An 11920-nucleotide genomic window follows, 5' to 3' on the forward strand; every position below is an offset into this window, starting at 1 on the left:
GCGTTTGAGAGGATGGGGTACAGGGCTACCCCCACCCCACAATCCAGTCTGCGAACTAGTCCCCACTAAGGGGAGGGGGCAGAGGGATGCACTGGGCTTGGAGACCACCCGGGGAGGCATCTGACATCTGCTCAGGGCTGTGGCTGTGCTCATTCTGTGCTGGGGTGGCAAGGCTCAAAGGAATGGTCTTGCACCCCAGGCTGGGGAGAGAATCAGGAGGGCTTCCTGGAGAAAGAGACGTCTAAATGGAGATCTGGGACCAATGGCTATCAGCCTAGGACAGACCGTGGCTGCCTTGGGCCAGATATACAGAGAGTGGCAGGACCCCAAATCTTTGCCACCCCAGACCCTCCCAGTCCCTGCAGCTATAAAGGATGGGATGCCTTTCATCCTCATGCTTCTGGGAAAGCCCGCACCCCTCCCAGCTTGTCTGGGTTCATTAGAACCTTTTGTTAGGTCCAAGCTGGGGCCTTCAGGATGGAGAGCTGCACGAAGGAGGGAGGCTGGGAGGAGGCAGAGGGCGGGGCGAGGCCTGGCCCCACCACTGGTATGTGGGTGTCTGCATGTGTGAAGGACTGGATGGGTCTAGTCTCTGGGGTGGAGAGGACAGAACGGTTCTCCACGGCTGGCACGGAGCATCCAATTGTGCAATGCCCCAGGGAACAGTGCAGGGACTGGACGGGCCTCTGGTTGGGTCTGAGTGCCAGCTGGACGCAGCCATGGAGGAGGGGTGTGCAGGCCCTGCCCAGTCTCTGGGGTTGTGAAAGATAGGGGAGGGGTGGGGAAATCTCTAAAGGCGGGTAATGCCTCTGAGCTTGAAAGAGCCCAAACGGAGATACGGGTGGGTGGGATCACAGGGCAGGGGGGTTTCTGAAAGGGCTGGAAGGCCCCGGAATGGAGTGTCGCACTCCAGCGTGCTAGGGCCCCGCCGCCTGCACCTGTCCGACTGGTCGGCCTAGGCCGGACTGCAGGGGTTGAGTGGGAGCCCTGGGCCCAGAGGCCTCTCCTTGCCTAGGGAAGAAGTGAGGAGCTGCTTGAGGGCACAGTGGGGGCTCCCAGTGAGAGCAGCTTGGGGGCAGAACTCCCAGACAGGAGAGCCATGTAATGTGCGGGCCCCTCACCTGCCTGAAGCCTCTTGTCCGAGAAGCTGGCAAAATGGTCCTTGCTAGCCCAGAGCCCCCACTCTATTTTCCGAAGTGGGGATATAAGGCAGGGGCTGGATTCCCACCCCCTCCGTCAATCTCAGCATCTCCACCAGGCTCCCCTAAACCGGTTATTAAGTGAACACATTAGGCTTATCAAAAGGGACGTGGGCTGCTTCTCCCTGCAAACACATCAAGACATGCCATTCCCCTCCCAGGCCGCCCTGGGAACCCGCGGCTCAGAGACGCCGCCAGTTTCGGGGCTGGGGTGGGGGCAGGGAGCCACACCCCTGCGAAACCGAGCTTCGAAGAGGAGGCCCCGAAGCCGCCCAACCTCCGCTCAGAACCCAGAGGGTGGGGAGGTAAGGGGGTGCCTCCCCCTGTGCCCCTCGACCCGACCCCACACCCCCCAGGGCCTCCGGGCGCGGCTCTGGCGCGCAGGGTGGCAGGTGCCGGGAAGTGCAGCGGCGGGTGGCCCGCCCCCTCCGGACACCCATCCCTCGCCTCCCCGACGCCAGGAACACTTGCGCGGTCTCAGAGGCGCTGGAGAGCGCCCCCCGACGCCAGCTCAGTTTCCCTGCCTCAGGGCGCCCCCTGGACGGAGCTTCCTGGGTCGCCCGCAGCGACCCCGCCTTGAGTGCCCGGTCCTCCAAAAACTCCGCCCCCTCATCCAGGTGACTATTCCCGGTCCTGTGCGACCCTCTGCGCAAGAGCGACCCTGGGACACGGGGGTGCCCTGTACCCCCAGCTCAGCTGCCCGTGCCCTAGGCCCTCAAGGCAATGCTCCCTGGGCTCCCGGAGTCCCCTGTGTTATGCTCCCCCTCGGGGACCCCAGCCAGTCCCTTCCCACCTGGCGGCGCTTCCCAGCTTCAGGGTGGCCTCGGTCCCGCGTTCCCGAGAGTCCCGCACTCCGGGTTCAGTTCCCGGTTCCTGGACCCCCGTACCCCCCATTCCTACACTGCCCGGGAGGTCTTCCAGGTCCTGTGCGCCCACAGGGGCAAGAGCGTCCCGGAGCGGAGCTGTGGGCGCCTCCTCACCTCCGGGTCTGCACAGTGGGGCTGTATTTGCCTTTGTTTCTCTTCCTGAAGAGCGAGTTCATGGTGGCGCTCGGGGTGCGGGCGGCGGCGGCTGGCGGGCCGGGCGCGCACCGAGGGGCGGGCGGGAGCGCAGGTGAGCGAGCGGCGGCGCGGGGAGCCCGGACTGCGGCGCGGCAGTGGCTCCGGGTCCCTACTCGCTGGGGGCGGGGCGCCCGCCGGCCACTGGCTCTGCGGGCCGCTCCCCGAGAAGGTGGTGCTTACCTTCCCGAGGAGGGGCCACCGCGCGGGCGGGGCTTGGACGCGGGGGTGGGGACACTGGGTCTTGGCCGGACGCCGCCCACCCCCAGCCGGGGGACTCCGGAGGCCGGGCAGGCACTGGGGCGCAAAGGCCGCCGGGGCGAGCGCTCGCAGCCCCACCCTCCTCGGGCCCGGCGCGCCTCTGGCCGAGGCCTTCACCTGGTTCTGCGCTACCGCGGAACTCGGCGCTCCTGGTGCTTTGGCGGACACCCAGCTGGGCCCCGCAAGACAGGTGCGGCAGAGACCCGCACGGATTCATGTGCCCTAGTAGCTAGCGAATTGCACTCAGATGGTGGCAATTGAGGGAAGGGGGCTGAACTGCCGAGGGCGCCGGCCTGAGTTCAAGCCCTGCCACCCCCAGGTTGGCTGACACTCCTGGGCAAGGTGTTTTACTGCTCCCAGCCACAGTTTACTTCTTTGTCAAACGGTGATAACCACCACCCCATCCGAAAGGCCTGTGGGGATGTCCCTGCAGGTAATGCACGCAAAGCGCTGAGCGCAGTGCCCTGGCCTGAATCTGCTCTCCGCTTGCCATCTCGGGTGGACAAAAACTCCTTTGAAACTTCAATAACTCCAGGCCCTGGCACTAGAAGAGCGCTTCATAGCTGGTCATAAAAGCTGCTCGATTGCGGCTCAGAACAACGACGTTGCACAATTCTGCCAGCATGTCCTGGCCCAGACTGTGTGCCAGTGGAGGAGGCTGCCCTTAGACAGAAACCTAATCTGACCTGAAGCCCGGATGGCACACACCACCACACCTGGCTAATTTTTAAAAATTTTTGTAGAGGCAGAGTTTCACCATGTTGCCCAGGCTGGTCTTGAACTCCTGTGCTCAAGTGATCTGCCGGCCTACAGCCTCCCAAAGTGCTGGGATTACAGATATTAGCCACCGTGCCCAGCCAACCTTATTCTTAATGGGGCTTCTATGGGTGGGCTTAACCCATTTATGCCTGAGGTTGCAATTTTTTGAATTGATAAATCATACCTTGGCAGTGACCTTGAGCAGTAGGAGATAACTCCCACAGGCGTCACGTTCCAATAATGGACCACTAGGCGTAAATAGAGGTGTGATTCCTCCTAAAGTTGTGCCTGCCTGCCTGCCTTCCTTCTTTCCTTCCTCTCTCTTTCCTTTCTTGCTTTCTTGCTTTCTTTCTTCTTTCTTCTTTGAGACTCAGTTGCCCAGGCTGGAGTGCATTGGCACAATCATAGCTCACTGCAGCCTTGACTTTTGGGGCTCAAGCAATCCTCCCACCTCAGCTTCCCGAGTAGCTGGATCCACAGGTGTCCACCACCACGCCTGGCTAATTTTTAAAACCTTTATATTTATATATGTTTTTTGTAGAGATGGGGTCTCGCTGTGTTGCCCAAGCTGGTCTTGAATTCCTGGGCTCAAGCAGTCCTCCCACCTTGGCCTCCCAAAGTGCTGGGATTTCAGGTGTGAGCCACTGCACCCAGCCCTAAAGTTGCTTTCAAAATGTGTGTGTCCAAATGTGCATTTTTCTGGGGGAGGATGTATTGCTCAGTGGAGTCATTTACTCATTCAACACATGTTTCCCATCACTCTCACAGCCTCAGTGTGCCTGGCTCTGCTTGTTGTACACGGATGAGAAAAGGGAAAAGAACAACACAAAAGGGGCTTTCTCTTTGGGAGCTTTCAGGTCCCGGGGCAGGGGACACATATTAAAAATGTTAACTTGGATGGGCGCGGTGGCTCACTCCTGTAATCCCAGTACTTTGAGAGGTCGAGGCAGGGGGATCACCTGAGGTCAGGAGTTCAAGACCAGCCTGACCAACATGGTGAAACCCCGTCTCTCCTAAAAATAAAAAATTAGCTGGGCGTGGTGGCGCCTGCCTGTAGTCCCAGCTACTTGGGAAGCTGAGGCAGGAGAATCTCTTGAAACTGGGAAGGGGAGGTTGCAGTGAGCTCATATCACGCCACTGCACTCCAGCCTGGGAGGTCACAGTGAGCTGAGATCGTGCCACTGCACTCCAGCCTGGGCGACAGAGTGAGACTTCGTCAAAAAACAAAAACAAAAACAAAAACACGTTAACTTTTCTTTTTCTTTCTTTTTTTTTGGAGATAGGGTCTTGCTGTGTTGCTCCGGCTGGAGTGCAGTGGCGTGATCATGGCTCACTGCAGCCTTCCTTGACCTCCCAGACGGAAGCCGTTGTCTCTTCTCAGCCTCCCTCTCAAGTAGCTGGGACCACAGGTGTGCACCACCATGCCTGGCTAATTTTTTTTAAATTAATTAATTATTATTTTTTTTTTGACAGTCTGGCTCTTGTCGCCCAGGCTGGAGTGCAATGACACACTCTCGGCTCACTGCAACCTCTGCCTCCTGGATTCAAGCAACTCTCCTGCTGCCACCACGCCCTGCTAATTTTTGTATTTTTAGTAGAGACAGAGTTTTGCCATGTTGGCCAAGCTGGTCTTGAACTCCTGACCTTGTGATCTGCCTGCCTCAGCCTCCCAAAGTGCTGGGATTACAGCTGTGAGCCACTGTGCCTGGCCTTTTTAAATTTTTTTAATTAATTAATTAATTATTTAATTTTTTTTGAGACAGAGTCTTGCTCTGTCGCCCAGGATGGAGTGCAGTGGCATGATCTCGGCTCACTGCAAGCTCCGCTTCCTGGGTTCATGCCATTATCCTGCCTCAGCCTCCCAAGTAGCTGGGACTACAGGCGCCCGCCACAACGCCTGGCTAATTTTTTGTATTTTTTAGGAGAGACGGGGTTTCACCATGTTAGCCAGGATGGTCTTGATCTCCTGAACTTGTGATCCACCCACCTCGGCCTCCCAAAGTGCTAGGATTACAGGCGTGAGCCACCACGCCCGGCCTTTAATTTATTTTTTTTAGAAGGAGTCTCACTCTACCACCGGGCTGGAGTGCAGTGGTGCAATCTCGGCTCACTGCAACCTCCGACTCCCTGGTTCAAGGGATTCTCCTGCCTCAGCCTCCCGAGTAGCTGAGATCACAGGCACGTGCCACCATGGCCAACTAAATTTTGTATTTTTAGTAGAGACGGCTCAAACTCTTGACCTCAGATGACCTGCCTGCCTTGGTCTCCCAAAGTTCTGGGATTACAGGTGTGAGTCACTGCACCCGGCCGCCTGGCTAATTTTTAAAATTCTTTGTAGAGATGGGCTCTTACTATGTTGCCCAGGGTGGTCTTGAACTCCTACAGGCTCAAGCAATCCACCTGCGTCAGCCTCCCAAAGTGCTGGGATTGCAGGCGTCAGTCCCTGCGCCGGCCAAATTGTGAACTCCTTGAAGGGGTCTGGGGACATATGGGGGAGAAAGACCCTGGGAGAGGCGGTGGTTCTAACATTGTTGCACCTTAGAATCTCTACAGGAGTTTGTAAAAGGCATATTCTGGGGCCCTGGGACCCTTGACATCCTGATTGGGGGGGTCTGAAGAGGGAGGGGCCTAAGAATCTGAAATCTGGACAAGCTTCCCTGGGTGGTCTGAGGCCTCAGTGTGTGCAGCCTCCCAGCTGCTCAGGCAGACAGCCCTGAACAGACCTCCCCAGCAAACCCAGTCCTTCCCCAACTCGGCTCTGCCTGGCTCAGTTTCGGGTGCCGCCCCCAGGTGGGCATTTCTCATTGGCAGGTAAGGGCATGACAATGCCCTCCCTCGTCCAAAAGTGACTTCCTTGCCTAGATCTCAGGGCCCCGAAGGGATGCTTCCTCCAGCCAGCTGATATTGGGAGCAGGTGTTAGAGAGGAGCTGGGGTTTCAGAACACAGGTGTGCGGGGAGTCACCTTGCACCCGCAGAAGCCTGAACTCAACATGGAGCTGGCTCAGCACACAGACCCCTTCCCCATACCCCAAGAGGGGTTCCCAGGGAACTTGTGCGTCCTTGCTGTCGCCCCCTGGTCTGCCTATGCCTGGACACCCTCTCCTTTCTCGTTCCCCATACCTTTCCCCACAGGTGGGCTCTTACTCCGGGCTCAGCATGCCTTGAGGATGGTCACTGCAGCAGTGTTGCTGACCTTGTACTAAGTGTGCATCCTGGGATGCTTTTGGCAACACAGTTGCTAATGGAGAAGCTCTGTAAAGAAACTGCTGCCTATTTGGAGGGGGATGGTCCGGTAACCAGGGCTGCCTACACCAGGAAGACCCTGCAGCTGGAAAAGGGGCAGATGTGGAGACCATATGTAGACTAACATGGAGTGGAGTGCCAGATGCAAAGTGCAAAAGAAAGAGGGAAAGACAGAGTGTGTGGTGTGTAACATGCTTGTCTATGCACAAAAAACTTCTGGAAGGATACATGAGAAACCGTTGCTGAATCTCCCCAAAAAGGACAAGAAAGAAGTTTGAATTTCTTTTCTTTTTGAGATGGAGTTTCACTCTCGTTGCTCAGGCTGGAGTGCAGTGGCGCGATCTTGGCTCACTGCAACCTTCGCCTCCCAGCCATTCTCCTACCTCAGCCCCCCAAGTAGCTGGGATTACAGGTGTGTGCCACCACGCCCAGCTAATTTTGTATTTTTAGTAGAGATGGGGTTTCACCATGTTGGTCAGGCTGGTTTTGAACTCCTGACCTCAAGTGATCCACCGCCTTGGCCTCCCAAAGTGTGGGGATTACAGGCGTGAGCCACTGCGCCTGGCCATTTTTTTTTTTTTTTTTTTTGAGATGGATGGAGTCTTGCTCTGTCACCCAGGCTAGAGTGCAGTGGCGCGAACTCGCCTCACTGCAACCTCTACCTCCTGGAGTCAAGTGATTCTCCTGCCTCTGCCTCCCAAGTAGCTGGGACCGCAGGTGCATGAAACCACACCCGGCTAATTTTTGTATTTTTTATAGAGACGTGGTTTCGCCATGTTGGTCAGGCTGCTCTCTAACTCCTGACCTCAAGCAATCTGCCCGCCTTGGCTTCCCAAAGTGCTGGGATTACAGGCGTGAGCCACCACGCCCGGCCCAGATCTCGGTTTGAATCCCCGCTCAGTCCCTTTCAGTTGTGTGAATACGGGCAAATCATTTTGCCTCTCTGAGCCTCAGTTTTCCTCATCTGGGAAGTGGGCGCAAACCTAGCATCAACTTCACAGGGTGAAAGGCTGTGTGTTAAGCATTCAGTATGTCCCCTGGCAGTTAGGTAGCCCCTAACGAAGGGGAGGGAATTCTCTCTGTAGCTAGAGACTGTGTGTTTGCGGGACTGACGGGCACAAGTGACTACAGGAGCTCCAAACAGTGTCAAAACTCTCGGCTTCTCCAACCTGCCAAATCCCCTTTCCCTACAACTCCTAGGAAGGTTAAGAGTTGGTTTGCGGGAGGGAACCAGATCAGGGACCTCTAGGTCAGCAGTGAATTCTAGCTCAGCTGCTGAATAACAGTGACGGCATTGATAATAGTAATGTCACCTCTTGTTTATTGAGGGCTGACTCTGTGCCAGGCACCATGGCACGTGCCCAACCACCCCCACTGGGTGAAGCAGGGCAGTGCTCCCTGCCTGGGAGGTAGCCACTTCCTTGTCTTATTTTCTTTAATTAATTTTAAGACACAGGGTCTCGTTCTGTCGCCCAGGCTGCAGTGCAGTGGTGTGATCATAGTTCACTGCAGCCTCGACCTCCTGGACTCAAGCGATTCTCCCACCTCGACCTCTTGAGTAGCTGGGACTACAGATGCACACCAGGAAGCCTGGGTAATTTTTAAATTTTTTGTAAATACGGGGTCTTGCTGTTGCCCAGGCTGGTTGAGAACTCCTGGGCTCAAGTGATCCTCCCACCTTGGCCTTCCAAACTGCTGGGAATACAGGCATGGGCCACGGTGCCTGGCCTCTCTTGTCTTACTTTTCAGGGAAGGAAATGGGCCCTGAGAAGCACAGGGCCCATTTGGGCTGGTACCTGGGTCAGCCTGCTCCTGGACTGAGCTCTTGAACCTCTGCCTCCCTCCACTCTTCAGAGTTCTAATTCCTGGGCTCGGGCTTGGGGCAGCTGGGCTGGTCTCCCGCTGACTCAGCTGAGCCTGGCCCAGGAGTGGCGGGTAGAATTAGCAGATTTAGGGAGGAATTTGAGTGGCGCTTCACCATCCCTCCCCTCTCCATTCTCTAGGAGCTGGGCTAGGAGCTCCCATGGCTGTGTGTGTGCGCACATGTGTACACACGTGCACACACCACACGTTTGTGGGCAGGCCGGATGGGGTGGGAGATCCGTTCTCACCCCATGCATCCTCCTCTGGGCAGATGGGATTTGTTTGGATCCGCGAAGCCCTCTCCTGCCAAGTGACTCATCCCCTCTGTTGCCGTGGGTGGAGGGCCAGCCTGCCGGGGTGGGGGAGGGTGCTTGCTTTCCTCGAGTTTGCTCGCACCTTCAGGGCCATTTGTTCCCTGGCAACCAGGCCACCCTCAGCGACCCTGAAACCTGTGTTCCTGCAGCCAGACCAGGCAGCCAGCTCATGGGAGGCCACCAACTTCGGAAGGGTTCCTCACGCCCGCCCTCCTTGTTTGCCATCACTGTTGCCCTAGCAGCTGGAGAGGTGTTTGGGGTATTCGCCTGTGAACCAGTTTGAAACAAGAGGGGCAGCATTCGCCCAGCCCGGGACAGAGGGACATGTGGGATATATCCCGAGCCCTCTCCGAGACAGCCATTCTCCCATCTGTGGCTGTATGCACCCCAACTTGGGGTGCATTTACAAATGCAGATTCCAGGGTCCCTCCCTGGAAGAGATTACGGTTGGGTGAGTCTTGGCAGGGCCGAGAAATCTGCATTTATTTATTTATTAATTATAGAGATGAGGTCTCGCTGTGTTACCCAGGCTGGTCTTGAATGCCTGGGCTCAAGTCAATCTCTTGCCTCAGCCTCCCAAAGTGCTGGGATTACAGGCATGAGCCACCAAGGAATCTGCATTTTTTTTGAGACAGGGTCTGACTCTCTTGCCTAAACTGGAGTGCAGTGGTACAATCTCGGCTCACTGCAACATCCGCCTCCCAAGCTCAAGCAGTTCCCCTGCCTCAGCCTCCTGAGTAGCTGGGATTACAGGCATGCACCACCACACCTGGCTAATTTTTGTATTTTTAGTAGAGATGGGGTTTCACCCTGTTGGCCAGGCTGGTATCAAACTCCTGACCTCAAATGATCCACCAGCCTCAGCCTCCCAAAGTGCTGGGATTATAGGCGTGAGCCACCGCACCCAGCCAGGAATCTGCATTTTAACAAACACCTACTCCGTGGGATGCTGAGGCAGGTGAGTTTGGGGCCACCCTGAGAAACACGGCTGTGAACAGAAACAGATGTTGCAGTAACTCCAGCCCTGGTCTGCCCACAGCCGGGATACACTTACAGGTTTCAGCCTGAAACCTGGGTTTGAAACTTGGCTCCACCTCACACCTTAGCCGTGTGACCTTGGGCAGGTGGCTCTCTTAACCTCTCTAGACCTCAGTTTCCCCATCTGTAAAATTGGGAAGAGCCGGTGGGCAGGGATGTGTGCACAGCCCCTGGCATGAAGGCCCTGCTCCTGTCCCTGCTCCGAGGGGACAGGAGGGGGCTGGCCCAGCTTCACCCCTGTTTTGTAACATGTGTTTACTTTTCTTACAGGACAATTCAAGGAGTGGAAAATTGTGCTGGCCCTCCAGCCCACATGGGCTGACTCACGCTCAGCTCTGGGCTGGGGGCCCTGTGAGCTCCCCACAGTTCTCCTGGGGCCAGAGGGGAGGCCAGGCCCTGGCAGCTGGAGCAGGAGAGGGTCTACGGTGAGTCATGCTCTGCCTGCCCCTGAGTCATCCCCTGAGAATGTGCCTCAGGCCCCTACCCGCCCGGGCCCCCTGGCAGAATGCCACTTCTCCCTGCCTGCCAGGCAGCCCCGCCCTCCTGCCGGCCCAGGGAGCCGCTGCTCCGATGACCGCCTCCTGGCTCTCTCCTGAATGCACCTGTACAGCCCTGTGTGTTATCAAAATATTGAAATAGCTCCCAACCGGTAGTTAAATAGCGGTTGCTCTGAGCCCCTGGCCACCCTGGTTTTTCCCCTCCCCAGCCACTGAGGGGTTAGCCGTGGGCTCAGCAAAGGGTTCTTCGACTCTGCCCCACCCATGGCTGGGGTCCACCGTGACTATGAAAAGCCCATCAGCCCATCTTGCAGATCCAGGTTTTTGGGATTTCAGACACTTCATCTTGAACCCTGGGCCACATTCCTTTTTCTTCTTCTCTTTGAGACAGGGTCTTGCTCTGTCACCAAGGCTGAAGTGCAGTGGCATGATCACAAGTCACTGTAGCCTCAGACTCCTGGGCTCAAGCAATCCTCCCATCTCAGCCTCCTGAGTTGCTAGGACCACAGGGGCGCCACCACGCCTGGCTAATTTAAAAAACTTTTTTGTAGAGTTGGGGTCTCGCTATGTTGTCCAGGCTGGTCTCAAACTCCTGGGCTCAAATGATCCTCCTGCCTCTGCCACCCAAAGTGCTGGGATTATAGGAGTGAGTCACTGCGCCCAGCCCCCGGGGCACTTTCTGACACAACCTGCTACACATCTTGGATCCCACTTGTCAAGCCTGGCCCTAGGCCTCTCAGGGGTGGGTACATCAAGTGAGGAAGTCACACTGTCAGGGCAGAAAGAGGGGCTGGGTGGGGCCGGACAGGCTCTGCTGGCTCAGGATCCCGGCAGGACAGGCTGCCCAACCCAGCCCCAAAACTCCCATCTTCTGTCCAACGCCCAAGCCTGCTTCCTCCCTGCCCCACCTCACCTCACACTGCCCAGACTGGTGGGGCTGCATTTTTGGGGCCGGTGCCAGGTGTGATGGAGGACAGCCCAGGTCAGGAGGTCAGGGCCCCGTTTCCTCCCAAGCCAGGATGACTCAGTGATGGACAGACTAGGCCACAAGGGGCCGAACACAAAGCCAAATTAGGGTTTAGTTTGAAGCCAACCTGGGTTTGAACCCTGGCTCTGCCATGCACCCAGCTGCGGGACTGTGGGCTGGTGGCTTAACTTCTCTGTACCATGGGGAAGAGCCAGTGAGCTGAGGTGTCAAATCTCAACTGATCTATTTCCTAACTGTGTGACCCTGGGCAAATGTCTTCACCTCTCTTAACCTCAGTTTCCCCATCTGCAAAATGGGGACACTCTGACACCTGCTCTGTAGGGTCTTGAAAAGTCTCAATAAAGGAAGACATGGAATCATGGCAAATAGTAACTTTTGTTGGGCATTTACTATAAACCAGGCCACGTGCTGAGTACCAGGCTTGGAGGCTGGCACTTTTTCTTCCAGCTTGATTGAGATGTGATGAACATGCAAGAAAGGGCACATTTTAAAAAATTTTAGGCTGGACGCGGTGGCTCACGCCTGTCATCCCAGCACTTTGGGAGGCTGAAAAGGTTGGATCACCTGAGGTCAGGAGTTTGAGACCAGCTTGGCCAACATGGCGAAACCCTGTCTCTACTAAAAATATAAAAATTAGCCAGGCGTGGTGGCGGGTGCCTGTAATCCCAGCTACTCAGGAGGCTGAGGCAGGAGAATCAC

The 11920-nt window shown here is 56.4% G+C and overlaps 1 protein-coding gene across 4 annotated transcripts in view, besides 4 other annotated features; it reads right to left on the bottom strand.

Annotated features, from left to right (window-relative positions):
- Positions 1 to 2344, bottom strand: part of PPL (periplakin) — a 54642-nt gene extending 52298 nt beyond the window's left edge. For 2 of the 4 annotated variants that reach the window (NM_002705.5, XM_017023375.3), the window contains exon 1: positions 2180 to 2344. In NM_002705.5, the coding sequence (NP_002696.4) occupies positions 2180 to 2241 (62 nt within the window). In that variant the 5' untranslated portion in view covers positions 2242 to 2344. Of the gene's footprint in view, positions 1 to 1992 lie in introns of all 4 variants that reach the window. The other 2 variants (XM_006720902.5, XM_017023374.3) reach the window with 2 other exon arrangements.
- Positions 2287 to 2686: a silencer, noted in NCBI's record as "silent region_7170". NCBI's record gives its function as "represses an Ori minimal core promoter by ATAC-STARR-seq in GM12878 lymphoblastoid cells {active_cell/tissue: GM12878}" and the evidence as "EXISTENCE:reporter gene assay evidence [ECO:0000049][PMID:35858748]".
- Positions 8066 to 8579: an enhancer, noted in NCBI's record as "H3K27ac-H3K4me1 hESC enhancer chr16:4992871-4993384 (GRCh37/hg19 assembly coordinates)". NCBI's record gives its function as "activates a minimal SCP1, AML or CMV promoter by ChIP-STARR-seq in naive and primed H9 embryonic stem cells {active_cell/tissue: H9 hESC(naive and primed)}" and the evidence as "EXISTENCE:reporter gene assay evidence [ECO:0000049][PMID:30033119]".
- Positions 8580 to 9093: an enhancer, noted in NCBI's record as "H3K27ac-H3K4me1 hESC enhancer chr16:4993385-4993898 (GRCh37/hg19 assembly coordinates)". NCBI's record gives its function as "activates a minimal SCP1, AML or CMV promoter by ChIP-STARR-seq in naive and primed H9 embryonic stem cells {active_cell/tissue: H9 hESC(naive and primed)}" and the evidence as "EXISTENCE:reporter gene assay evidence [ECO:0000049][PMID:30033119]".
- Positions 9094 to 9607: an enhancer, noted in NCBI's record as "H3K27ac-H3K4me1 hESC enhancer chr16:4993899-4994412 (GRCh37/hg19 assembly coordinates)". NCBI's record gives its function as "activates a minimal SCP1, AML or CMV promoter by ChIP-STARR-seq in primed H9 embryonic stem cells {active_cell/tissue: H9 hESC(primed)}" and the evidence as "EXISTENCE:reporter gene assay evidence [ECO:0000049][PMID:30033119]".

This window comes from Homo sapiens, chromosome 16, assembly GCF_000001405.40.
Source record: "Homo sapiens chromosome 16, GRCh38.p14 Primary Assembly".
Taxonomy (NCBI): domain Eukaryota; kingdom Metazoa; phylum Chordata; class Mammalia; order Primates; family Hominidae; genus Homo; species Homo sapiens.